The 26,567-nt window shown below is 47.4% G+C and overlaps 1 protein-coding gene across 8 annotated transcripts in view, besides 4 other annotated features; it reads left to right on the top strand.

Annotated features, from left to right (window-relative positions):
• RGS3 (regulator of G protein signaling 3) overlaps positions 1-26,567 on the top strand; it is a 153,009-nt gene that overhangs the window by 86,366 nt on the left and 40,076 nt on the right. For 5 of the 8 annotated variants that reach the window (NM_144488.8, NM_001282923.2, NM_001394167.1 and 2 more), the window contains one exon: positions 5,701-5,823. In NM_144488.8, coding sequence (NP_652759.4) covers positions 5,701-5,823 — 123 coding nt within the window. Of the gene's footprint in view, positions 1-5,515; positions 5,824-10,224; positions 18,674-26,567 lie in introns of those variants that run through there. The other 3 variants (NM_017790.6, NM_001322214.3, NM_001276260.2) reach the window with 2 other exon arrangements.
• Positions 4,925-5,676: an enhancer, noted in NCBI's record as "H3K27ac-H3K4me1 hESC enhancer chr9:116298300-116299051 (GRCh37/hg19 assembly coordinates)". NCBI's record gives its function as "activates a minimal SCP1, AML or CMV promoter by ChIP-STARR-seq in naive H9 embryonic stem cells {active_cell/tissue: H9 hESC(naive)}" and the evidence as "EXISTENCE:reporter gene assay evidence [ECO:0000049][PMID:30033119]".
• Positions 10,022-10,521: an enhancer, noted in NCBI's record as "H3K27ac hESC enhancer chr9:116303397-116303896 (GRCh37/hg19 assembly coordinates)". NCBI's record gives its function as "activates a minimal SCP1, AML or CMV promoter by ChIP-STARR-seq in primed H9 embryonic stem cells {active_cell/tissue: H9 hESC(primed)}" and the evidence as "EXISTENCE:reporter gene assay evidence [ECO:0000049][PMID:30033119]".
• Positions 11,246-11,761: an enhancer, noted in NCBI's record as "H3K4me1 hESC enhancer chr9:116304621-116305136 (GRCh37/hg19 assembly coordinates)". NCBI's record gives its function as "activates a minimal SCP1, AML or CMV promoter by ChIP-STARR-seq in naive H9 embryonic stem cells {active_cell/tissue: H9 hESC(naive)}" and the evidence as "EXISTENCE:reporter gene assay evidence [ECO:0000049][PMID:30033119]".
• Positions 11,762-12,277: an enhancer, noted in NCBI's record as "H3K4me1 hESC enhancer chr9:116305137-116305652 (GRCh37/hg19 assembly coordinates)". NCBI's record gives its function as "activates a minimal SCP1, AML or CMV promoter by ChIP-STARR-seq in naive H9 embryonic stem cells {active_cell/tissue: H9 hESC(naive)}" and the evidence as "EXISTENCE:reporter gene assay evidence [ECO:0000049][PMID:30033119]".

The following is a 26,567-nucleotide window of genomic DNA, read 5'->3' on the forward strand; positions in this document are numbered from 1 at the left end:
GATTGTTCTCTAGCTGCAAGATCCTGGGTGGTGTTATCCGAAAGTAGTCCTGGGCTCTGGGTCTCTATTGCCTGGACAGGTGTGTTTCTCAGTTCCTGCAAATACACTGGACAGATGCAGCCCACAATTGGCTTCAGAACACAGAAGGCTCTGAAGTCAGTTGGGTCCATGGGCACATTGGTCAGGGACTATTCTCTAACCTAGAATCTGATGTTGGCTCCATTAATTTAAGAGTCTTGGAGTTAGGAAAACCTAGATTTGAATCTTGGCTCTGCCATTTTCTGAGTGATCTGGGGCCAGTTACAAACTCATCTCTGAAATGGGGCTGGTTCTACCCTGCAGGGTTGTGGTAATGATTAAATGAGATTCAATAAGACTTGCATCCAAAGCACTTAGCACAGAGCCTGGCACACAGTGAGCGCTCAATAAATGGTAGCTATTGTTATTGTCAGTTTCAAAACAAGGGGAAGGGCTCTTCATATTCATTTACTCTCCATTAGAGAAATCACAAATGATTTATTGGTCTTTTAAGAAGAAAGCTAAGAGGAATAGCTCATATTCTTTGTAATGTGCATATACAGTTATACAAATATGGTAAGATCACAGACTCTGGAGGAGGCAGAAGACAAACAGTGAATCTCTCCTCTCCCGAGACCTCCTGGGGCCAGTGACATAACCTCTCTGAGCCTTAGTTTTCTCATCTGAAAAATGGTAGCAGCTGCTTTCCTTCCTACCTATGTCATAGGGTCATTAGGAGAACTGAATTAAATGACAGAATTTTTATCAAAGCAAATGAACCAACTTAATTTATGGCTGAAGAGGTTTTGTTTTTTACAAAGATACAGTTAATTCAGGAGCAAGGAGGTAAGGCAAGAGCGGGATTTTAAAGAGGCCAAGAGGAGCTGGGTGTCTGGTTGGATTTCAGGATGCCCATGTTTAAATGCACAGGTCTGTGCCCAGTGCTTCTGGGCCAGGGCCAGTGCATCTGAAAGGTCTGTGCTTGGCTGACCACCCCATAGTCAGGAGGCACCGTCTGAGTGAGTTATGTGAGGAAGCCTTCAGGGTGGCTTATGGCCTTGACCACAGAGCCTGCTATTGAGGGCACAGTGGGCATCAGTGTTGGGACTGACGAGTTGGATCACACCCTGGATTAAAAGAGATGGTTTACCTGTGAGGGAAGCCAGGAAGGTAATGAGTGTCCCCAATTTAGACAGATTTAGGCAGATGGGAATTCAGCCTCCCTGGAGGGAGCTGGCTTAGTGCTCTCTCTCTTGGCTTGGCCAAGAGAGAGAGAGACCAAAGCTTAGGTCTCCCGAAAATGTTTGCCCATCTAAGCCAGCCAGCTCTGCCCCCTGCCTTGGAAGCCTTCTGGGTCCTCTAGTATTACAGCTTCAAGCTCTGAGAGCCAGAGACCCAGCCCTACACTCTGCTGTTGAGACAGGCAATACGGTCACCATCTCAGGTGAAGAAATAATGGCTTTCCAAAGGAGATTCCCATGGGGCAGGGCAGCAGAGGGTGGTTCTTGTGGTGTCAGCAAAACAGGCATAATCATGGCTATTACCTTGCAGTGTCGTTGGAAGAAATGTCGAGGTATCACTGGTAAGGGGCTTAGCACTGTGCAGGGCATGGGATTTGAGGGGGCTGCCTCAGTATTGAGGGTAGGTGGCTCTCTCACTGTGAGAGGCCCTCCCAGGATGGGGGGAGCTCTTTCATACTTTTGTAGGGAGGGGGACACCATCCTGGAGCTTAGAGCAGTGGACAGTTATACAAAAAGCTGCCAGCGAACTCTGCAGCTGCTCTGAGACCCAGCTACCTACAGAATTTCTCCTGGAGGCTTTGCATTCTGGTCGCCTCTTGGTCCAGTCTGCAAGAGGGAGCATTCCTGCCAGCCACAGGTGTGGCAGCCTGACCAGGTGATGAGACCTCCCCAGGTGTTGGAGATGAGATCCCAGCATGTGGTTCTCCAAGGCTTTGAGCTGGAGCTCTGCTCCTCATTGGCGATGAGACTCAGGGAGGTCCTTAGCTGCTCTGAACCTTGGCCATTCCCTTCCATAAAATGGGGACAACAATCCATGCCCTTCCTGCCTCTTCACTGCATTGCCAAGATCAGCATGAGATCGTGGGTGGGAAAATTCTGTTTTTTTTTTTTTTTGAGACAGAGTCTCACTCTGTTACGCAGGCTGAAGTGCAATGGTGCGATCTCAGCTCACTGCAACATCCGCCTCCTGGGTTCAAGCGATTCTCCTGCCCCAGCCTCCCAAGTAGCTGGGATTACAGGTGCACACCACCATGCCTGGCTAATTTTTGTGTTTTTAGTAGAGACGGGGTTTCATCGTTTTGGCCAGGATGGTCTCAAACTTCTGACCTCAGGTGATCTGCCTGCCTCAGCCTTTCAGAGTGCTGGGATTGCAGGCATGAGCCACCGTGCCCAGCTGGAAAGTTCTTTTTAAAATTGATAATCAGACAAAAGGAATTATTAGTAAGGCAGAATTCCTGCTTCAGAACAGAAAGAAAAGAGGACATGGAGGCCCAGGGAGATTAAGGAATCTGCTGAAGCCCACCCAACTGGGTAGAAGCAGGGCTGGGAGGCTCGGGCCAGGGCCAGGGCCAGCTTCATGGAGTGATGGCCTTTCCAAGCTGGAAGGGACCACAGTTCCTGCCTCACCCCCCACCTTTACATGGGAACACTGGAGACAGGGAGCAGAGGGCCTTCTGGTCAGCATCTGCCTCACCCGGCTTCTCCCTGGGAAATCTTGGGGTCTTTTGCTGGCCATATCCTTCCCCTGCCATGGGCTAGAGGACTCTGGGCAGCGGAGGGAAGCTGTTGTTAAGTAGAAGCTCCAGGAGTGCCTCAGCGCACCACCCAGTTCCCTGAAACCAGCAGGCAGGGCTTTCTTTCCTCTTTCCCCAGATGCTCTTAGGAAGATCAACTTCTGAGCACTTTTGGGCCTGAGAGGAATGGCTGGCACTCAGCATGGGAAGTGCCCCCACTCTGAAGGGTGGCATTCCTGAGGGTTGGGTTGGATGCAGGGTAGAAGAAGTCCCTAGATATTATCAGCTGATGTGATAGTCCACCCCAGCTCAAGGCCTGCTTTCGCTGCTTCTGGAACAGCTTCTCCCAAACATTGTTTTTGCTGGCCCCTTCTTACCGTTCATGCCTTAGCTTGTGTGTTGCCCTTTCTAAGAGGCCTTTTCTGATCACCTCAAGTATGACCTCTCCCTTTATGACCTTGGTGACATTTTCACAAGTTGTAATTACAGTTGTCCCTCAGTATCCACCAAGGATTTGTTCCAGGACCCCACAGATACCAAAGTCCAAAGATGCTCAAGTCCTTGACACAAAATGGGGTAGTATTTAATATAACCTATACACATCCTTCCATGTACTTTAAATCATCTTTAGATTACTTATAATATCTAATACAATGTAAGTTCTGTATAAATAGTTGTTAAACTGTATTGTTTAGGGAATAATGGCAGGAAAAGAAATCTGTACATATGTAGTACAGATGAATTTTTTTTTTTTTTTTTTTTGAGACAAGGTCTGCCCTGTCGCCCAGGCTGGAGTGCAGTGGCACAATCATTGCTTACTGTAGCCTCAAGCTCCTGGGCTTCAGCAATCCTCCCACCTTATCCTCCCAAGTAGCTGGGACTACAAGCGCACACCACCACACCCAATTAATTTTTTTTTAAAACTTTTGGTAGAGACTGGGTCTCACTGTGTTTCCCAGGCTTGTCTGGAACTCCTGGGCGCAAATGATCCTCCTGCCTTGGCCTCCCAAAATGCTGGTTTACAGATGGGAGCCACTGTGACCAGCCTAAAATATTTTTTCAAATATTTTCCATCCTCTGTTGGTGGACTCCATGGTTGTAGAAACCATGGATAGGGAGGGCTGTATATTATTTCTTTAATTGTTTATTTGTATAAATAACAAATATTATTGTCTTTGCCCCTAACCTGAGAGCATGGGCTTAGTCTGTCTCATTTACCTCTTTATTTCCAATGCCTAGGACTGTCTCTGACACAGAGCAGGTGCTCAATAAATAGTTATTTTATTTTGTTTTTTTTTCGAGGCTGAGTCTTGCTTTGTCACCCAGGCTGAGTCTGGCTTTGTCACCCAGGCTGGGGTACAGTGGTGCGATCCTGGCTCACTGCAACCTCTGCCTGCCAGGTTCAAGTGATTCTCCTGCCTCGGCCTCCTGAGCAGCTGGGATTACAGGCACATGCCACCACGCTGGCTAATTTTTGTATTTTTAGTAGAGATGGGGTTTCAGCATGTTGGCCAGGCTGTTCTCGAACACCTGACCTCATGATCCACCCGCCTCGGCCTCCCAAAGTGCTGGGATTATAGGCATAAGCCACTGCGCCCAGTCAATAAATAGTTATTAAACAAATGAATTACTGAATAGTAATACTAGTGACTGTTTGTTGAGGCCTGATTGTTGTCCTCCTTGCTTGCCCTCCTAGTAGCTCTGAAAGCCAGGTGATGCCATTATATCCCCATTTCACAGGCAGCTTGGTACTTTCCTGAGGTTGACAGCTGGGAAGTGGCACAGCTGGGATTCAAACCAGGCCTGTCCAACTGCAAAATGAGAAAGGGCTGGATAGAAACACTGTCTTTTTTTTTTCTGTTCCAAGGGATCAGCTGATGCTCTTAGCTCCCTGGCTGAGTTCATCTAATCGCAGCCCTTTGGGGTTATAATCAAATTCTAGTGGAGGCAGACAGAGCTTGTACTCCCCTGATGAGAGTACCCGGTTGTGGGTGGCAACCCTGGGCATGTACCACCATCCCTACCCCGCCCCTAGCACACTCTGCTTTAGGGGTGGCTCTCTGGGTCCTTGAAGCTCCCTGGTGCTTGTGCCAAAGCTGACCTGGATTTGACCTTATCCCAGAAGTCCTTCCTGGCAACCAGAGCTTACCAAGGCCATTGCTTGCTAAGCACTATATGAGGCCTAGATGAAAAAGGCCTTTCTAGGAGGGGTTTGTAGTTTAGTTGGGGAGACGAGACTGTAGTACTTAACAAGGTTGAATAGCGAAGCGGGACCTAAATGTCAGCAGTGCCTGGGATGTTGCTGCCCTCGAGTGAGCTGAACAGTCACAGATTAGACCAAGATCATGTGCTGGGCAGTGGGGCTGCAGAGGGCCACATGACTCTGCCCGTCAAAGACTTTCCAAAGGACCCTGAGTTGCTGTTTGGGTTCTGTTGGTATGCCCGTCCAACCACCCGTTCAGCCTTGGCCTTGGGATCAGAGAAGAGCGCTGTGAGGAAGATGGGTTCTGTGAGCCAGGGGAGGTGGGGAGGGTTCCTGGCTCCACAGAGAATCAGCCTGAGGCCCTGGCCCTCTGGGCTTCCCACGTGCTCCCTCAGCTGCTGCTTTGTGCTGCCTGCCCCTGGGGGTGACCTCATCGGCTCTGTCCTGCTCTCCACAGGCCTCTGCTGTGTTGGGAGCCACTGCCTTCCTCCCCTCCCCCAACCTGTGGGCCCACAGCTCGCCAGCTGGCCCTTGAACCCACTTCCCTGCGCCTCTGGCTGCCTCAATGTCACTGGGGATTAGTGTGCATTTGCGGCTTTTGGCGGACACTCCCCTCCTGGCTGCAGCCTCACCCTCTGGAGCCCAGGGATGGGCTTGGGCCTGGGAGCCCCCTGAACCAGGGAGCAGCCCTGACCGTCCGTTTCTCTATTTTCCCTGACGTCAGAAGGCAGAGTGCTTATTCACTTTGGAAGCGCACTCGCAGGAGCAGAAGAAGAGAGTGTGCTGGTGCCTGTCGGAGAACATCGCCAAGCAGCAACAGCTGGCAGCATCACCCCCGGACAGCAAGGTAAGGGCCTTGACAGTGGCTGTGGCCTGGCTGCCTCGTTTCCCCTCAGCCAGCCTAGACCCTTGAGCCTCTGCATTGAGCTGGGGGCCAGCCTGAGCTTCCAACTTGGCTCTGGGCAATGAGCTCTTGGCAAGCGGGGACCTGTGCCCGAATGTCTCTCCCCCTTGGCATGTCATTGGGTCTGCTGAGTGGGTCTGACAGTGCTCGTGTAGAGCGACAGAGCCAAATTAAGCGTGGCCCATCAGTTCTGCACTCTGTTCTTCGGTTTGCCTATGGCAAGGTTTAATTCGGGCTGGCCTCCCTGATGCTGCCTGGCATGCGTTCACCTCTGCCATTGGGTAGCCTGTGCCTGGGGGCAGCACACTGGTGTTTAACATTGGCCCCAGGCGGATGCGATAGAGGGGATGTTTGCGGCAGAAGCTGTTGTATGCTGTATAGTTCCATGTGGGCCAGAGCCAAGTAGAGCTGAGTGTGGACTGCTGGGGTCTGGGGACTGGCTGGCAGGAGCACCGGGGAAGATTAGAGACTCCCAGGGGAGGCTGTTCTGGGCTGGGCACTGCTCAGCCCATCCAGTGCCTGGGGAGAGGGGATGGGATAGGAGCTGGACCACACAGCCTTCCCCTTTGACACTCCGATGCCAGCCACAAAGTACAGTTATATTACCCCATTTGTGAGTCATTCAGGTCCCTTCTTTTGCTAAAAGTGCTGGCCATTTGGGAATTGGGTCTGGTTGGCTGCAAAAGTTGCTGAGGTGGTTGCTCTGCTGGATCTGGGCGAAGAGGAGAGATGAAAGAAAGCTGCAGCCTGTAACTTGCTGGCCTTTTCACTTCTCCCTGGTGCAGTCAGTCCCCTATGCCATGGGCAGCAGGCCTATGCAGGGGGCAGTTGGGGGGCAGGCCTGCTGAAGCAGGAGGTAGGGAAGAGGCAGTTGGCAGCCTCTTCTGAGGGCCAGAGGTGGACAGCAGCTCCCCAGCTATTCCCGAAAGGAGTGAGGATCTGAGAATTACATCATCTTAGCTGTGAACGTTCTCTTGTTTTACACTAGCTAGTGGCAAGAATAACTTGGATGAGGGAAGACAGTAGGAAAAGCACGGACTTCTGAGCCACCCTCTACCACCAACTGGCAGTGGGAACTTGGGCAAGTCACTTTGCTGCTCTGTACTTTGATGTCCCCATCAGTAACCTGGGACAATAGTCCTTCCCTCAAAGGGTTGTTGTGAGAATGAAATGAGAGGGTGCATATACGGGCTATAGCACAGTGCCTGGTATGCAGTAGGCACTCACTCAACCATAGCTGTGGGGAATGCATTGCCCCCTGCCCAGCCCCAGGTGGTTTGTTGCAGCACTGGCTGGTTGCCACTGTCAGGTTCTTCTACTGAGCAGAGACCTGTCCCCATGCCTATAGGCTGCCCTGCCCCACTGATCCTGGGTTGGTCACAGTCAGAATCCAGGCCGCTTCCTCTTCATTGGGGTGGCCTCTGGGACGTCGAATGGCTGAACCTATGCCCCAGTTTTTTTTCCTTTGGGCTTGTGCCTCCTTTTCTGGGGGAAAGAGCTCTTTGTGCCTCGCTCTCAGAGTTTGCTGACTCTGGAGTGTGTTAGCAGCAGCCTTCTCAATACCTTGGAGAATCTCTCCATCTTCAGGTTTGGGAGGCCAGAGGGTGACTGAAGGCAGGCTGTTTCTGAGGCAGGTTGTGGTCCCTGTAGGGCTTTGGGCTTGGCTGGCTGACCCTGGAACGGCCCAAGGGTTTGAGGCCTGGCTTCAGGGCCACACTAGAATGTATGGGAATCCTGAGCAGAGCAGTTTGGACACCTCTTCAAATCCAAACTCTTCAAACGCGTGTTCCATGGAGAAGCTGTGTGCTGGACAGGAGAAGGATGAAGGAGGGGGCCCAAGTGCTGGGACAGCCTCAGAATTACCTCCCGGGCCTAAGAACTGGGCCTGGAGCCACACTGGCATACCCCACTTGGGCCACCCTCCTAAGAAGGCCATGATGTAGCTGTCTTTTGTCAGGCTGGCCCTAGAGGTCTCACTGCTCAAAATTCCCCATCCCTATCACCACCATGCACATGCAAAGAGTCTTAGCAACTTACTCCTTCTAGACACTTATGGAATGCTCCCTGAGAGGAATTCCAGTAAATAGATTCTCTCCAGCCCTAGGTAGTTCTAGCAATGCTTTAGCAACCTCACTGACAGGGCCCGCCTGGCTTTCCAGCTGGTCCACAGCATTGTCCACTTGCGCTCAGTTCCGTCAGTTCCTGGCAGCCTCGGGGTGACCAGGAACCTCTTTACCAAGGGCTGGCCACTAAGGTCTCCATCTCTAGGGCAGAAGAGGAAGGGCCAAACGGAGCCCGGAGGCTGGCTGCTTGCTCTTCAGGTATAAGGGTCCTGCTGGACCGATTTGCTCTGAGATGGAGTGTCGCTCTGTCACCCAGGCTGGGGTGCAGTGGTGCGATCTCAGCTCGCTGCAGCCTCTGCCTCCTGGGTTCAAGCGATTCTCATGGCTCAGCCTCCCGAGTAGCTGGTACCACAGGCACATGCCACCATGCCTGGCTAATTTTTTTATTTTTAGTAGAGATGGGGTTTCACCATGTTGGCCAGGCTGGTCTCGAACTCCTGACCTCAAGAGTAGCACACCTTTGAATGCCTTTTCTGTGTTCTTTCTGTGGATGCTCCACCTTCTGCTGAACAAAGGAAAACACTGCCTAGACCCCCACCCCACCCCTGCACCACCCAAATGCCTCTCTGGGAAAAGGGGGTTTGTAAGGCAACTCCCCAAACTCCCATGCTCTTTTCAAGAGTGTCTGCTGACACCCAGATGTGGGGGATTCTTTAAATGTCTTAAGGAATGTAAAGCTCTTCCCAAATTCACAAAACGTAATAAGTGCAATTTACCTTGAAGATGAAATATATGCTTGTTGGGAAGGTAGAGGGAGTCAGGGGAAGATGGACTTAAAGAACAGTTGGGAGGTCACTCCCTTGCTGTGGGACCTTCAGCAGCCGCTGGCTGCTGTGGTGTCAGTAGTCCCATCTGGGCACTGGGCCCGTGGCTCTTTCTATCTCTCCAAGCTTTGTGATTTTCGTGAAAGCTGAGGGCCGGGGGCCATCTAGTATCCATTTTTTGTAGAAATAAATGAACTACTTTCTCTCTTGTCTCAACTTCCTACTCCTGTTCATCACCCGCTCCTTCCTTTTCAGAGCTCTGCCCCTCTGTTGCTTCATTATCTGTAGCTGGGGGGCGCCTACCTTTCTTCTTCTGCCTGGGAATCCTTGTACTAAACTCCCTGCATGGGGACTGCTGCGAGGCTTCTAATCTAGAATAACTCAGAGCTGGGCCCACCTGTGGCCATTCAGGTTCTAAGCTAGAAGGGAGAGACAATTATATATTCTTTTGATTATTCAAGCAAATATACATAATAAATGCCTTCTCAGTGCCAGATACTGGTTTAGATCCTTTGGGATCACAGAGATGAATGAGACCTGGTCCCTGTCGCTATGGAATTCTCCTAATAGGAGAGAGATGAGGAGGGCACTGGAGTGGTGATCTAAGCATGAAAGCCATGCTTGCGGGTCCTAAGAAGGATCCAGTGGGGTCCTGGCTATCCAAGCATCATCCGTGCCGTGAGCCTCCTGCTCAGTACCCTTCATGTGCCTGGTGCTGGGCTGGGCTCCAGGAAGCCTTCTGAGAAGCATGGAAACCAAGCCTTTAGGATGAGAAGGGCAGACACAGTGCAGTGGGGCCTGGCCCCATTCTCAGGGCAGGTCCTGTGCTCCACGGGGAGGGACGCACAGAGCAATCCATCACCCCCTTTCCTCGGGAGATCACAGTCTGGTGGCAGAGACAGACATGACAGATAGTTCAAAGTAACACAGTAAGCAATGTGACCTCAGGTGAGCCAGTTAGCCTCTCTGAGACTCAGTTTTTGCATCAGTAAAGTGGATGGATTAAGAGGCTTCTTGTGAGGATTGAACTCAGGATGTGCTTTGCAAAGTGGCATGCAAGAGGAGCTCTGAACTAGCCGCTATCGTTCTCACTGTCATGGTTTTAAAGTGCTGTCCATATGGGAAGATTCATCGGGGGCCTTGTTCATTGAAGCTGCTGCTGGTGCTCGGAGCACATATGACAACTGCTCCATGTCACTTCCTGGTAGACATCTGCCATATTCCAGGGGCCCAGGCAGGGAAACTGAGGCCTCCTTGTCTGCTCTGGCTCTAAGACTTCTCCCAGATGTGACGGTGAGGTGCGTGCCACCTTGTCATCTCCACTGGGGCCACTAGAGACAGCCCTGGAGATGCCAGGGTGTGTGAGTGCCTTAGAAAGGAACAGAGGCAGGTCCTGCAGTCAGGCAGCCCGGCCTGAGTAGACAGCGAGCTAATTCCAGTTCTGTCTGGTTCCACAGAAACTCCACCCTTTCGGCTCTCTCCAGCAGGAGATGGGGCCGGTCAACTCAACCAATGCCACCCAGGATAGAAGCTTTACCTCACCAGGACAGACTCTGATTGGCTGAGCAAACCCAAGGGCGGGACTCTGCTTCTGGCAACTTAACCCTTTCTTGGGCATCCCCTACCACACAGTAACCTCACCTCAACTGGACCTGAAACAGAGGACCAAGATGGTGGGTCTAGGGTCATCTGAAGGGAGTGGTCCCAAGGGTGCATGTGGATGTCAACAGAAGGACCACAATGGTGTGAGAGGCCTTGTGGGCATGCAGAGACTGGCAGCAGAAAGTCCCAAGAGGAGAGGACTCAGAGGCTTCTTCCTTCCAAGGAGGAGGAGGAGGAGGACATTCCACATCTGGGCTTCCAGTGGTGGCTCCCGGACCTGCCTTGGGGGCAGCAGGAGAGGTTGGGAGAGGTCACCCTGATGAAGAACAATGCCATGATCTGCTGCTGCCAGAGGACATCTCCGCCCATCCACTCATTTTCCACCTGTACACATTGGCTCATTCATTCGATGGATATTTCGGGTGCATCTACTTTATGCCAGGCTCTATGCTAGGAGCTGGGGATACTGTGGAGAAAAAGTCGGATATGGTCTCGCTCTCATCAAGATTTCAGTCTAGCTGGGAGTGAGCGTTAAATAAGTCAATACCAACACACACACGTGCACACACGTGATGGCAAGCTGTGATCATCTATGAAAGAAAAAACACAGATTTCTTTAAGAGGGAATTGTACTTAGAGTGCTGTGTGTGGGGGTGGGGATGGGGAAGGACATAACTTTTAAACCGAGACTTGTGGGCTGGAGAGGAAGGAGCCAGTCCTGGACTTGGGGAAGAGTGTTCGCGGTGGATGGAATAGCACGTGGAGAGTCCCTGAGATGGGAAGGAGCTCAGTGGGCTGGAGGAATGGCGAGCAGGCCAGTGTGGCTGGAGCTTAGTGAGGTGCAAGACACAGTGGGTGAGGTAGTTGATGTCTTGTTGATTTCATTCTAGATACACTGGAGAGCCATTGAAGGCTTTTGAGGAAGGGAGTTGCAAGTACATTTTTACAAGATCCGTTTACACATAGGAGGGGCCCAAGTGGGTGTGAGATCAGTTAGGGGGCTCGTTCAGTTCTCTAGGTGAGGACTGTCCTGGTGGCTTGTCCTGGATGGTGGCTGGGGAAGTGGATGCCTGAATGCCAGGCTCTGGAGAAGAGATGACTCCCTGCCCCATCCCCCTGCCTACCCTCCTCCTCAATGGCCCCTCTCTCAGTGGATGTGAGTGAGGATTAGGACCTTCCCCACAGAGCCACCTTTTGGCCAGGCCTCGTGGGGGATAGTGGGGGCAGTGCTGAGTTCTAGGAGTGTTCCTGGAAGTTGGGGGCAGTGAGTGCTCAGCCTGGCCCAGGTGGGAGAGTTCACTGCTGCCCAGGCCTTAGCAGGGGCTGCTGTGCTGTCTTTCTGTCCCATGCTGAGCATTGTGATAGGAAGCTGCCACACAGTGCCCTGGAAACTGACTTCGCATGCTTTCCATGGGGCTTCCGAGGGCCAGGGACTGGGCTGGGGGTGGCCTAGCAGCTCTAGTGGAGACTGTGCTGCCGCAGGGCTGAAGGAAGACCAACCAAGGGGACAGCCGTTTGAGCCCAGCCCACTCACTGCCTGCTGCACCTCCAGCTGGAGCCCAGGGTTGGGCAGCTCTCATACTCTTATCTAACTGCCAGACCTAGAGGGAGGGAAGCCCAAGGCTGCAGGTCTGAGGGACACGGCTCATGGGCAAAAGGGTATCAAGAGGATTAGAGTCACTTGCATAGGAAAAGAGGGTCAGAGAGGCTGAGGGCTGGCTGAGGCCAGAGAGGTTCCCTGACCTTGGACATTCTTTGTGTTGTGTAAGACCTCGGCATCTTTAGAGAAAGGTTCTTGTGCCCCTGTGAGCTTGCTCAGCTGCTATGGCCACTTGAACCCCAAAAATGGTGGCCTAGAAGAGAATACACCCCTTACTTCCCACTTATCCTCCTCTCAACCTAGGAAAGATCAGACATATTGACTCAACAGTCTAACAGGGGATGGGCTGGATCTGCCCGTGACCAGACCAATGCCCCCCACCCAGCAAGGGAGTAAACGCTGCCTGAAGTGGGACCAGTGATACACAGCATCTCTGTCTGCCAGGGCTCAGCCCGCGGGGGGGATTTGTGAGAGGCTGAGCAGCTGGGTCTGCACAGACAGCAAGCTGCACTTTGATTTCATTTGATTCCCTTACAAAATGACATTAAGGGGAATGTGAGGCACAGGAGACTCGCCTGTCTGGGAAGGCAGCAAGCTCATCTCTCCTGGACCTGGTGACCTACCTCTGTCTACCAGACAGGTGCAGAGGACAGGAGCTCTGGCCACAAAGAAATGGACAGTCTGAATGCAGCACACAGCCCTGGGGACAGGACTTTTCACCCAGCCTGTCCTGACAAGCTGCTGAGTCGAGCAGATGCTCACATCAGGGTCCCAGGTCCGGCTGTTAGGGAAGTGGACATCAGTTCCTGGTGGGCCCTGGGCAGTGACTGTGGTGAGCCACAGCACCATTGCTGCTCTGCCTCTCAAATCGATCGAACAATTAATTTGGCTCCACAGGCTCGAGAAGATGAAACATGACCTGATGGCCACTGCTGTCCAGCATCCCAGTCCATCCTAGCTGTCCAGGATGATGAACAAGCTATGGAAATTGCACTTGAGAGCTATAATCACGGGAAGCATTGCCGAGCCCCTCCCTGCTACATAAATCATGCTAAGAAGCACACAATGGCCTCTTTCCTGATGGGCTAATTGTCTTGGTTTGGTGTCTCAGGCCCAGGAGCTGGGAAGATGGGAGCACAACCATTTATTGTTGGAAAGACCATCTGTGCAACTTGAATACAAAGTGATTCTTTTAGTTCCCCACACACCCCCGACCCTCTGATCCCATTTTCATGTTTTTTTTTTTTTTTTCTTTTTATGTCTCAGGCTCTGGTTCTTTTAAAACTCTTCATCTATCCTGTAAGCCATCAGGCCTGGATCTCTGCTGGCCTGGGTCTTTTGGCTATTTGGGGGTTGGGACATTGCAGACCTTTTGGAAATAATGACATTTATTTATATATGTCTTATATTTTTATTCTTTATTTTTCCCCATAAATTCTATTACCAAAGTCCTCATTTGTCACACATGGCACCAAGGCACCAAGAGGGTTTTTGCAAAGTGAAAATGCAGGCAATTTTGCAACGTGGAAGGGCTCCCCACAGCGAAAGTCCCACAGTGAGAGCCTAAACTTTGGAGATGGCAACTGGGGTCCCCAGGCATGATCTCCCCCCAGCCTCCCAGCAGCCTTGTTTTATGGATGAAAGACACCAAGGCTCTGAGAAGTTAAGTGTTTTATCCTAGGTCACACAGCTGGTAAGGGCCAAGCTTGCCCTCAAGCCAAGGCCTTTGAACCTAATCTACCACTCATTTCTGATAAAAAGGTTTGTCTTTTAGGGATAGAAGTAAGAGAAATCAATAATCTCCAGGAAGAGGCAAGAGAGGGATATCCGGCATGTCAGAAGCTGTGGCCCATCAAGCTGTAGAGGGAATGCTTTTAGGATAAATAAAATGAGATGCCTTATTTTCCACCCAGTGGAGAATAAACTTCCAGAATGCATTTTCCTGAGGGTGGCACAGGCTGAAAAGATCAATAGCTTCCCACAAGATTTGAAAAAAGCCTAAAATGAGAGATCAGTTTGAGCTCCTTAAGACAGGTTCTCAGGGAGCTCTGGAATGGTTAGGTTACACCCCTTCCCCTTTTGAATTTGGCATCAAAAGGATCAGCAGACAGAGTCATGGAGTGCTTGGCAGTGATGGAATATTAGCCAAAGGCAGAGAGGTATAGCTTCAGGCTCAGGCTGGCTTGTGCCCAGCGTAAGTACTGGAAGGAGGCCTTTGACCTGAGACCAGCTGAGGGCACAGAGAGGGCCTGCCCATGTGGAACCTGCCAGGTTTTGTGCGCAGATTTTGCTAATTGACTGATTTAGTATCTCAGCCCTGAATAAAGGGGAATCAAATGGATCTGATTTCAGCCATCTCCCCTAAGAGATGCAGACTCTTCTCCCTAAAAACTGTTTCCAGGCAGCCACCAGCTCTCCTCCCCATTCCTTGCTGCTGTCCTATCAGTGGACAGACTGCCTTCTTCGCTGTCTTGCTCTTGGTCTCAGCCATCTTGCTATTGTTTTTTTTAGCCCCTGAAGAAGACAGTGCAACCTTACCCTCTATCCTGTCTTCGCCTTCTCTTCCTCGAAGACTTTCTCTGAATAGGGCCATCCATCCTCCAAACTGTTCCCAGATCCTTGGTTTTAAAGGTAGAATGATAACATAAGGTAACCTGGTGGGCACTTACAAGATGAGCCAGGCACAGGGTCAAGCTTTTTACCTACCCTGTCTCATCTAATCCTCATGCAGACTTACAAGGTGTGTTACCCCTGTTATACATTTACTCTCATTATGCCCAATTTAGATATGAAGACGCTGAGTCTCAGAGAAGTTAAGAAACGTGCCCAAGGTCACACAGCTAGTGGGTAGCTAGGATTGAAACTTGGACAGCCCAGCTCCAGGGTACCTGCTTTTGATTATTTTGCTATATGGCTTTCCTGTAACTGCAGACCATCCAAGCTGGAAGGGCCAGGGAGACTGGACTGTCACACTCCTGCTTAAAGACCATTGTGGGAGGCCACTGTCTTCAGAGTAAAGCTTGGCTTTCCAGGCTCTCCTTGGTAGCACTACACTCCTGCTTTGCACCTGGAGCCCGGCCACACCATAAATTTTCCCCTTCTCTAAACTCACTGTGCACATTCACAGTTAGGGTGTTTGATCTGCCTGACGTTGACTGCCCTCCTTGGCTGTCCCTGCTGGATGCAATCCTCAACCTTCAAGGCTTAGTGGCTCCTCTGAGAACACCTTTCTCAGGCATGCATCAGGAGTCCTGACTTCCCCCTTCGTGGTTCCCAGAGTACTTTTTCCCCCTTAGCACAATTCATCCTTAGCATCTGGATGACTGTGAGCTTCTTCGGAGCAAGTAGATGTTATATTTTATTTGTCTTTGATTCTATTGTTGTCCGGTCCGTAGTAGGTGCTCAGTAGAGGTTGTAGGATTGAATTAGGCTGTCCAGTTCAACTCTCCTATATTCTAGAATTTAGACAAGGAAACAGGTGCAAAAAGAGAAGTGACCTGGCCAGGGTCATGGGAAAAGTTAGTGTCAGAGCCAGGACTAGAGCTCAGGTCTCCTGATTCTTTGGATTCAGAGCTTTTTCTGTTGCACCTCAGCTTTGTGGAGACCAGAGCATGGATCTGCACTTGGTTTATGAAGGTCTGACCAGGTTCACTTCAGGGTCATGGATACCACTGTGTTCCCATGCTGACACTGGGGAATTCCCAGAGGGAAAGGAAGCCCAGCTGGAGCTGCTGCTGTAGGTTGCGGGGCTCACCTCTCACCGAGCCCCTTGCTTACAGAGAAAACCAGCGAGTGATTCTGAAAATCTTGCCTCGAGTCCTCATTTTGCTGGTATTCACCGTGTGACCTTGAGCAAATTGCTTCACATCTCTGATCTTCTGTTCCTTTACCAAGAAAAATGAGGGAGTTGAATTCAGATGGTCTCCAGGAGTCATCTGATTCCAGAATATCAGGATATAACAATAAAGATGAGGATAAAGTAGCTACTCCCCTCAGAAAAGGTGGAGATCCAGATCTAGGGGGAGAATTGGCTAGGTTCTTCATCACAGTCACTGTCTTGAGACACATAGGTGGTCCATGGAAACATTTCCATGAGGGATTTCAGAGGGGAGAATGGGCAGACTGCAAAGCCTCGGTACTCTAATACCAGGCAAAAAGAAGAAAGGGAACAGGCATTTTAGTTTTCACATTGAAACAGAGTGTATGTGTATGGCCCTATGCAAATGTTGTTCCTGGTGAATATTCATCAATGTACTCATCACACATAGGTATATTTAGACAGAAAGGGGTCCTCATCACAGACACCCAAATTATGAGCACATTACTGCCTCCTCTCCCCTAGAGGTGCTTCTTCCAGCCTCCCCCATTGGAGGCCAGCACAAGACGGGCTCTCCAACCCAATATCTTCCCCTTCCCTCCTTCCTTTCTGCTCAGGTGGCTGAGTATACACATTGAACTCTTTTGTTTCAACTTCACGTGTATATAGGTTGGTGCAAAAGTAACTGTGGTGTTTTCCATTAAAAGCAATGTCAAGAACCGCAATTACTTTGGCACCAACCTAATATGTATGCAAGTACATTCTTTAACCTTTCCAACTCCCAGTCCAAGCCATCAGGCTAATTTCCGCGTGGAATTTGTGGTCACTGGTTTGCAGTCCTTTCATTTCTGGTGTGGTCAGAAGTCTCCTTCAGACTCTTCCCGATAAGTTGCCATTGGCTTTTTCATCACCTTTAGTACCTACCCACTTTTGCTGGGATAACACTACCCAAGATAAATTCAAAAAAATTGTCCTAAGTGTTAGTGTGTTTCTGTTTTGGTTGAAGTCTATTATTGCTATATGGTTTTCTACTGTTTCTACTTGATGGAAGACTATTAAGGGTTAAGTAGGCTGGCCTAGGAAGCTGACCACCATTTATAACATACTTTTGAGTGGGAAAATGCATTCAGAGGCCTGTAATCAATACTTAGGTGGACTTTGGGAATATAGTATTTATTTTATGAGTGACTAGAATATTGGTAGAACCATAGAAACTTTGAATGTGGAGCTGGAAAGCCTCCTCCTTCCCCCACTGAGATCAATTGATTAACAAGCTAGGTTGTAGAAACCAAGTGAAAGAGGCAAAAACTTGGCCAAGGGCATGTAGTCGGGGACTTCTGAAGATTCTGCTGGGCTGGGGGCAGGAAAGGGGTCACAGACGGTCTTAGGGTTGTCTCACTCAGCAACTCACTGTGTTGGCCTTGGGAAATGTAAGTCACTGTGTTGGGCTGTAATGGAAATATTGAGAAAGCAGCTCAGCTAGTGGCGTGGGGAGAGGTTGTCTAGTCCTCTGGCTTATCTGTAAATTCCTGGCATGTGCTTGTTGGAGCAGAATGAATGGGGCTGCTGTGTTTTACCTGCAGCTAGGAGCATGGCTGGAGTGGTGGAGACACTCCCTGTGGTCTGTTCTAAAAATAGCAGTGGGAACAGAGCTGAGGGGAAGAGGAGGGGGCTCCTTCGGGAGCTGGGTGGGGAGGCCTCACCCCCTTCCTCTTCCTGCCAGGCCCGATGTGAGGAAGTCCCATGGAGTCACATAATTCCATCTGGGAGAGTCCTGGAGCCATCAGCCCTCACACCCCCTCCTCATACAGGCGAGGAGGCCCTGGAGGCCCGGAGAGCAGAAAGCACTGGCTGGTGTCAAGCAAGCCCAGAGAGAAGGGCCCAGTTGGCAGGCTGTTTTTCCCTGGCTGTTTCAGCACAGTGGCTGCAGGCCTTGTGCTGAGGTTTGCTGTCACTGCCTTTGGGCGCACAGAGACTGGGAACTCCTGGGACCGGATGTGGTCAGGCTTCCTGAGAGTCGCCTGGCAGGCGAGGAGTCCCCAGCTGGCCCACCCTGAGCCCTGACCTCAGCCAGCCGGCTGTCCAGTGCCACACCTCCTCTTGCTGGTGTCCCCTCCCTTGCTGACTTGTCCTCCTTTCTTTGGACTGTCTGCAGGGAGGGAGGACAAGGGCCAGCCTAGATCTGGCCTGCAGGACAGAGGCCTCAGTGGCTCAGGACCTTTCCCTGCCCCTCCCCAGGAACAAGCAGAGGCAGCTGAGGTAGTAGCAGCCTCCTGCAGGTTTAGAGACAGACAGGCCAGGGTTCAAATCCTAGCTCTTCCTCTCACTAGCCATGGGATTACTGATGGGTCACAGAGCATCTGTAAAATGAGACAAGAACGCTGATTTCACTGGGGTCTTGTGAAGATCAAAGGGGATCTGTTGTAATGCCTGGCATGCAGTAGGTACTTAATAGTAGCTCTTGTTGCAAAACCAAGCAGTGAACATGTATCTGACTTTCTATAACCCCCTTCCTTGGGGCCTCCACTCATGAGGCATGGGAAGGTGTTTTTTTTCTTTGTTTGTTTGTTTGTTTGAATGCAGTTGACTTTTTTTTTGTTGTATTGTTGCAAAAGTAATCCATGTGATTGATGTTTATTATGAAGAAAACATTTAATACAGATGAACCAGGAGAAGAAAATGAAGTTCATCCTTAATCCCAGCACCCAGAGATAAACCACTGTTAACATTTTGGAATGTGTCCTGTCAGGCATTCGTTTATACACACATATATCTTATTTGCAAATTGGGGTTACTGGTGCAATTTTTCTAACCTGCTTTTTCTCCCCCATTTAACAGCGTAGTGTATCCATGTTTCCATTTCAATAAATATTCTTCTACAACATCATTTTCAGTGCCTGTGGAGTATTTCATTGTGTAGATGAAACGTGCTTTATTTAAGTAATCTTCAGTTGTTTATCATTCAGGTTGCTTGCAATTTTTCTTTGTTACAAAAATTTCAGATAAAAATCCTTGTACAGGAGGCTGAGATGGGAGATGGCTTGAGCCTGAGTTTGAGGTTACAGTGAGCTATGATTGCACCACTGCACTCCAGCAGTGAGACCCTGTCTCTGAATGAAAAAAAAATCCTCTTAGGTGTATCTTGGCATGCCCAGCATCCAGTTCAACACCTAGTACGCATTCGACTCTAAATAAATATTTGTTGGGCGCGGTGGCTCATGCCTGTAATCCCACCACTTTGGGAGGCCAAGGTGGGTGGATCGCTGAGGTCAGGAGTTCGAGACCAGTCTAGCCAACATGGTGAAACCCTGTCTCTACCAAAAAATACAAAATTAGCCAGGCATGGTGGCGCATGCCTGTAGTCCCAGCTACTGGGGAGGCTGAGGTGGGAGAATCGCTTGAACTTGGGACGTGGAGGTTGCAGTGAGCTGAGATTGTGTCAACTGCATTCCAGCCTGGGCAACAGAGTGAAACTTCATCTCAAAAAGGAACTAAATAAACAAATATTTGTTGAATGAATGAATGTTTTGTTAGAATAAATGCCTGTTAGTAGAGTTTCTGGGTCAAAGGTTATATATTTATAAAATGGATTATTGATCCTATTGCCAAATTACCCTGCAGAATGGTTGTACTGATTTCTAATCTCATCTGAATTGACTAGCTCATCCTACTTTGCCTGGGACTTTTCCCTTTTTAGCATTGAAAATCTTGCTTGCCAGGAAACTCCTCAATCAAATCAAGTAAACCGAGATAGTCTGGATAAGAAAATGTTTATTCCTCCTCATCATTACCAACATGGTATATTGTTACATTTTTAAATAGGTTCTTTTTTTCGTTATTAGAGATGTTGAATATTTATTTATATGCCTTCTGGTCACTTGTGTTGCCTCTTTTGGGAATAGCCTGTTCAAGTCTTTTGCTCATTTTTCTATTGGGATTTTTATAGTTTAATTATTAATTCACAAAGAGCTCTTTATATAATAAGGATATTTGTGTGTTAGCCTTTTATTTTTATTATTTCTTTAAACTACAGATGTTTCTGACTTATTAGTCATATCTATCATTTGTTTTAGAGTAGTTTTATTGAGATTTAATTCAAATATCATACAATTCACCCATTTAAAGTACACAATTCAGTAATTTTTAGTGTATTCACACACTTGTGTAACCATCACCACAATCAATTTTAGAATATTTTCATTATCTCAAAAAGAAATCATACTACTTAGCTATCATCCATTATTTCCCCCATCTCCTCCAACCCTAAGCGACCACTAGTTCATACTTTTCATCTCTGTAGATTTGCCTATATTGGACATTTCATATAAAGGGAATTATATAATATTTGGACTTTTGTGACTGGCTTCTTTCATTTAGTCTAATGTTTTCAGGATCATCCATGTTGTAGCATGTATCAGCAACTAATTCCTTTTCATGGCTGAATAATATTCTGTTGTATGGAATATCACATTTTGTTTAACCGTTCATCAGTTAATGGACATTTGGGTTGTTTACACCTTTTGGCTATTCTGTGTAATGCTGCTATACATATATGTGTGCAAGTTTTTTGTATGGACATATATTTTTCTCTTAGGTGTACACCTAGGAGTGGAATAGCTGGGCCAAATGGTAACTCATGTTTAACTTTTTGAGAAACTACCAGACTGTTGTCCAAAGTGGATGTACTGCTGGGCGTGGTGGCTCATGTCTGTAATCCCAGAACTTTGGGAGGCTGAGGTGGGCCGATTGCTTGAGTCCAGAGTTCAAGACCAGCCTGGGCAACATGGTGAAAACCTGTCTCTACTAACAACAACAACAACAACAAAAATTAGCTGGGTGTGGTGGCAGGCACTTGTAGTACCAGTTACTCAGGAGGCTGAGGCAGGAGAATTGCTTGAACCTGGGAGGTGGAGGTTGCACGGAGCTAAGATCATGCCACTGCACTCCAGTCTGGGCAACAGAGTGAGACTCTGTCTCAAAAAATAAAATAAATAAATAAACAAAGTGGCTGTAGCATTCTACTTTCCTACCATCAGTATATGAGGGTTCCAATTTCTTTAAATCCTCACTAACTCTATTTTTTCATTTTAAAAAATTATAGCCATTCTAGTGGGAGTGAAGTAGTATCTCATTATGGTTTTTATTGCATTTTCTTAATGACTATAAATCTTGAAAAATATTATTGCCTTTGGCGTATGATATTCACTCTAGGATTATATAATATTCACTTTTTTCCCTTTTAATTTTATGGTTTATTTTTTAACTCTTAATATTTTAATCAATTGGGAATTTACTTTTGCATATAGTATGAGGCAGATTACTTTTCATTTTTCCCAAATAGTTATTTGCTCCAATTCTTATGCATTATATTAGGACAAGTACCCTCTTATTAGTTTTCTTTAAAAATTATTTCCCCCCTCTTCTCATACATTTATTTATTTATTTATTTTTTTGAGACGGAGTCTCACTCTGTCGCCCAGGCTGGAGTGCAGTGGAGTGATCTCGGCTCATTGCAAGACCCGCCTCCCGGGTTCACGCCATTCTCCTGCCTCAGCCTCCAGAGTAGCTGGGACTACAGGTGCCCACCACCACGCCCGGCTAATTTTTTGTATTTTTTTAGTAGAGACGGGGTTTCAATGTGTTAGCCAGGATGGTCTCCATCTCCTGACCTCGTAATCCGTCCGACTCGGCCTCCCAAAGTATTTATTCTTTTAAATGAAATTCAGTGTACTTTTTAATTGTAGCTTTATAATTCAGTCCTTATCTTCTCCCTGCCCCTCCCAAAAATATCGTTGAGACTTTTATTGTAATTATATTTCAAACTATACATTTAAAAGGGGAGTATTAAAATCTATACAATACGGTCTTCTCATTTGAGAACAGGATGTGTCTCCTCATTTATGCAAATTTTAAGATTTCCCAAAGTTTTAGAAAGAATTTCATATAGGTCTTGCACATTTTTTGTTAAATTTATTTGAGGGAATTTAAAGTTTTAATTTATATTACAAATGAAAATATTTATTTGGCATTATATTTGGTTTTTTAACTGGTAATATACATGCACAAAACTTGTACCAAAAAATTCTAAACATTACTAAACTGAATAAAATAAAACCCCCATTCCCCAAGCCCATTTCCAATCAATAATTACTAATATATGTTTGATGTGGTTCCTCCAAATTTTCCCCCATGCACATATGTAGACATATGCTATGTTTTGTTTTACTAAATAATATCATATTATACATACATTTTTGTAACTCATCTATAAAGATATAGGCCAGGAATGGTGGCTCACACCTGTAATCACAGCACTTTGGGAGGCTGAGGTGGGATGATCACTTGAGTCCAGGAGTTGAAGACAAGCCTAGGCAATATAGTGAGACCCCATCGCTACAAAAAATAAAAAAAATTATCCAGGCATGGTGGCATGTGCCTGGAGTCCCAGCTACTTGGGAAGCTGAGGTGGGAGGATCGCTTGAGCCTGAGAGGCCAAGGCTGCAGTGAGCTGTGATCACACCACTGCACTCCAGCCTGGGCAACAGAGGGAAACTCTGTTTAAAAAAAAAAAAAAAAAAATATATATATATATATATATATATATATATATGTATATATAATATTATATATAAATATATTATAGAAATATATATTATATAATTATAGAAATATTTTCGTGGCTGGGCGCTATGGCTCCCACCTGTAATCCCAGCACTTTGGGAGGCCGAGGTGGGCAGATCACCTGAGGTCAGGAGTTCGAGACCAGCCTGGCCAACATGGCGAAAGCCCATCTCTACTAAAAAATACAAAAATTAGCCAGGTGTGGTGCTGGGTGCCTGTAATCCCAGCTACTGGGGAGCCTGAGGCAGGAGAATCACTTGAACCCTGGAGACGGAGGTTGCAATGAGCCGAGATTGTGCCGTTGCACTCCAGCCTGGGCGACAAGAGAGAAACTCCGTCTCCAAAAAAAAGAAAGAAATATTTTCCATCAGCACCTAAACTTCTCCCTCTATTTTGAATAGCCAGTGGACCATAATGTATTTAATTTATTGATGCATGATTAGATTGTTTCTAATGTTTTGATATTCTGAACAATGTTGCAATAAACATCTTGCCGCACTTTTCTGTTAGGAGAGAGTGTGGCACACACTACCGAAGTGCTCTAAAAAAGCTTTCCTTCTGTTTACACATGTCATCTCCCCAACACTATTGTTCTTATCCTATTTTATAGTTGAGAAACCAAAGGAACAGAGGTTAAGTACATGTACAATTTGCATTCCTACTCACAGTGAATGAGAGTGCCTGCTTCCCTACACCCTGCATAAAATGGAATGTTATTGCTTTTAATTCTTTGTTGGTACAAGAAGTGAAAAATTATATTTAATCTTAATTGACATTTATTTCATTATTAGTGAGGTTGAGATTCATTTTGTTTTATTTTTGGAGATGGAGTCTTGCTCTGTCACAAGGCTGGAGTGCGGTGGCGCCATCTTGGCTCACTGCAACCTCCACCTTCTGAGTTCAAGCTATTCTCCTGCCTCAGCCTCCTGAGTAACTGGGACTACAGGCACACGCCATCATACCCAGCTACATTTTTGTATTTTTAGTAGAGATGGGGTTTCACCATGTTGGCCAGGCTGGTCTTGAACTTCTGACCTCAAGTGATCCACTCACCTCAGCCTCCCAAAGTGCTGGGATTACAGGCGTGAGCCACTGCGTCCAGCCTCATTTTATGTTGATCAGTCACCTATATTTCTGCTTTGGCTTGTCAGTTCATTCATGTCATTTGCCCAGTTTTTTACTGAGGCGTTATCTCATTTGTAAGAGCTCTTTATGTGGTTAGACTATTAACCATTTGCTTATTATATGGGTTATAATTATTTTTCTAGTTTGTCATTTGCCTTCTAACTTTATAGTATCTTTTATCATTTAGAAGTTAACTTTTTTTATAATCAAGTTTTTTTGGGGGGTTGAGAGCACCTATATTTTCTAAGGTCTTTCCTACCCCTAGATTATGAGAAATATTCATCTAAATTTTATTCAGCTACTTTTATTCTTTTATTTTTTGCATTTACATTTTAAATTCATCTGCAATTAATTTAATGCCTGGTGTCAGATGGAACTCTTATTAATTTTTTCCCCCAAATGGTTTGACCAGTTTTTCCAACCCGATTTTTTTGAATTGTCTTTCCTTTCTTCACTTATCATAGACCAAATTTCCACATATGGATGGTTTGGTTTCTAAGCTCTCTCATCTCCCTCTTTGATCTGTCTATTCCTACATCAGGTTAGACTTAATGACTTTAGCTTCAGAATATGGTTTAGTAGTAAACATCCCAAGGCCAACCCCTATTATTCTGCAAAATTTCCTTTGGAGTTATACACCCTAATTCTAGTCTGCTAGTGGCTTTACCCTTACCTTTGTCACAAACATATTTCAACATCAGGAATGACACCAGATCCATAGTAGCCTGTCCTCGTGGCCTCTAACCCATAATGATCATGTCGGCTGGACCATACTTCTCTGCTTTCCTCCATACCTCCTAGGTATTGTTATAATTGTCTGGAATTTCGGTTTCCGGTTGTGACTATTTTTTTTTTTTAAAGACAGAGTCTCGCTCTGTCGCCCAGGCTGGAGTGTAGTGGTGCAATCTCGGCTCCTGCAACCTCCATCTCCCAGGTTCAAGCGATTCTCCTACCTCAGCCTTCTGAGTAGTTGGGATTACAGGCGCCCGCCACCACGCCCAGCTAATTTTTGTATTTTTAGTAGAGACAGAGTTTCACCCTGTTGGTCAGGGTGGTCTCGAACTCCTGACCTCGTGGTCTGCCTGCCTTGGCCTCCCAAAGTGCTGGGATTACAGGCGTGAGCCACCCTGGCCGGTTGTGACTATTTTTAAACATTAGCACTATTCTGTTTTAAGAATTATTTACTTAAAATTGCACTTAACTTTCAGTTATCAGTAGTTAAGGCTCTAAATGTTTCCGTTTTCATGGCTTGCCTCTGTCTCTCACATACCACGTCATCTCATTCTTGACTTCTCGATTTTAATTCACTTTTGTCTGTAGAGCTTTCTTGAGTAATTTTTCCAGAAAGGGTCTGTGGGTGGTATCCTTTCTTATCCTTGTAAGCCTGAAAACATTTGCCCTCATGTTTGAGTCATAGTTTGCTTGAGTAGAAAATTCTAAGTGAATCGTCCTTCTCTCCCAGAAGCCTGAGAGCAGTGTTCTGTGGTTTCCCCAGTATTTAGTGTTTTAAGAGCAGTTTTTCCTTGATTCTCTAAAATTTATTTATGGAAACAACCAGGATTCCTCTTTCCAATCTTTGGAATTCAGAAATTTCCCCAGATGATTTCTAGTTGTTTGTTTTCTTTTGGTAATTTTTCCTGGTCCTAACTAGGTAAGTCCTTTCAGTCTGAAGACCCAAGTCTTCCTTTCGTTCAGGGAAATTTTCTATTAATTTAGGAATGGTTTCTATTCTGTGTGTTCAATCTCCTCTTTCTGGACTTCCTACTACAAATAATAATAATAATAATAATGGTGCCTAACATTAAAGCGTGCTTTCTTTCTGTGATAATATATAATCTTCCCAGCACTATTGTTATTATCCTCATTTCATAGATGAGAAAACAAAGGAAAAGAGAGATTGAGCAGATTATACAAGGTCGCATAATTAGGAGGTGCAGGCCAGGTTCTAATCCCAAGCACCTGGCTCCAGAGCCCGTGTCCTTAGCTGCTAAACTATACTCCCTGCCTGTCGGGTCCCAACCCCAGAGCCCACCCTGCCCTTCCCCCCAGCACTCTGTAGTGACAATGTTGAGTGTCGACAGGCAGGGACTCTGTAATCAGTGGGGGAAAGCTTGGGGATGCTAGGATGATGGATCTGAAACAGACTGGGCTACTGAGGCCAGAGAGGGGCAGGGATTGTCAGAGGTTCTCCAGTGAATTTAGAGTTGGGACTCTTCCCTCCCTCCTCTTCCCTTGGTCTCAGCCACCTGCTTCAGGCCTCCTCTTTGTCCCTGGGACTGCTGCATTGCTTCTTGTGGGTCTCCCTCTTCCTACTCCTGTCCATGTAGTCACCTCTGTCAACAGCAGCTGCGATGACTCTTCTTATAGAACACACGCAGTCACCTTCACACTGCTGAGTGTTTGTTGAATGACTGTATGAGTGAGCAAAGAAGTTTACAGTGCCTAATGTGTGTCAAACACTGTGCTAAGTACTGTTGATGCAGTATGCATTAGTCAGCAATCTACCAATTGCAAGTGACAAATACCCAGCTTCCAGGAGTAAATGGAATTTACTGGGTTAGGGAGGGTAGCCTTCAGGCCTAGTTGGATTCAGAGCCTTGAGCAATGTCACTGAGAAGGCCTCAGCCTCTTCATTTCTTGGTTCTATTTACTTAGGTGTTGGCTCACTCCCTTAGTGGTAGCAGTGCTGCTGCCAGAAGGGCCAGGGTTATGGCCATGGCCTTGGAGTTGGACTCCCTCAATCATTTCATCAATAGTCCCTGGGCCTGATCCTCATTGGCCCAAGTAGGATCACGTGCCCATTCCAGCCACTGAGGACAGTGGGATGGGTTAAACTAATGGACTGAGGCCTGGGCCATATGCCTCTCCCTGGAGTGGGAGATGGGTTGGTTCCTTGTGAATCACCTGGCTTGAGAATGAGAGAGGGAAGGCTAGTTCCTCAAGTGAATGGGGTCTGGTCAGGCAGATCTCAGATGTCGTCTACTTCTCGGCTCATCAACCAGCATGGTCCTCACCCCACAGAGCTGACAGTCTAA

The sequence above is a fragment of the Homo sapiens genome, chromosome 9 (genome assembly GCF_000001405.40).
Source record: "Homo sapiens chromosome 9, GRCh38.p14 Primary Assembly".
In the NCBI taxonomy this organism is placed as follows: Eukaryota; Metazoa; Chordata; class Mammalia; order Primates; family Hominidae; genus Homo; species Homo sapiens.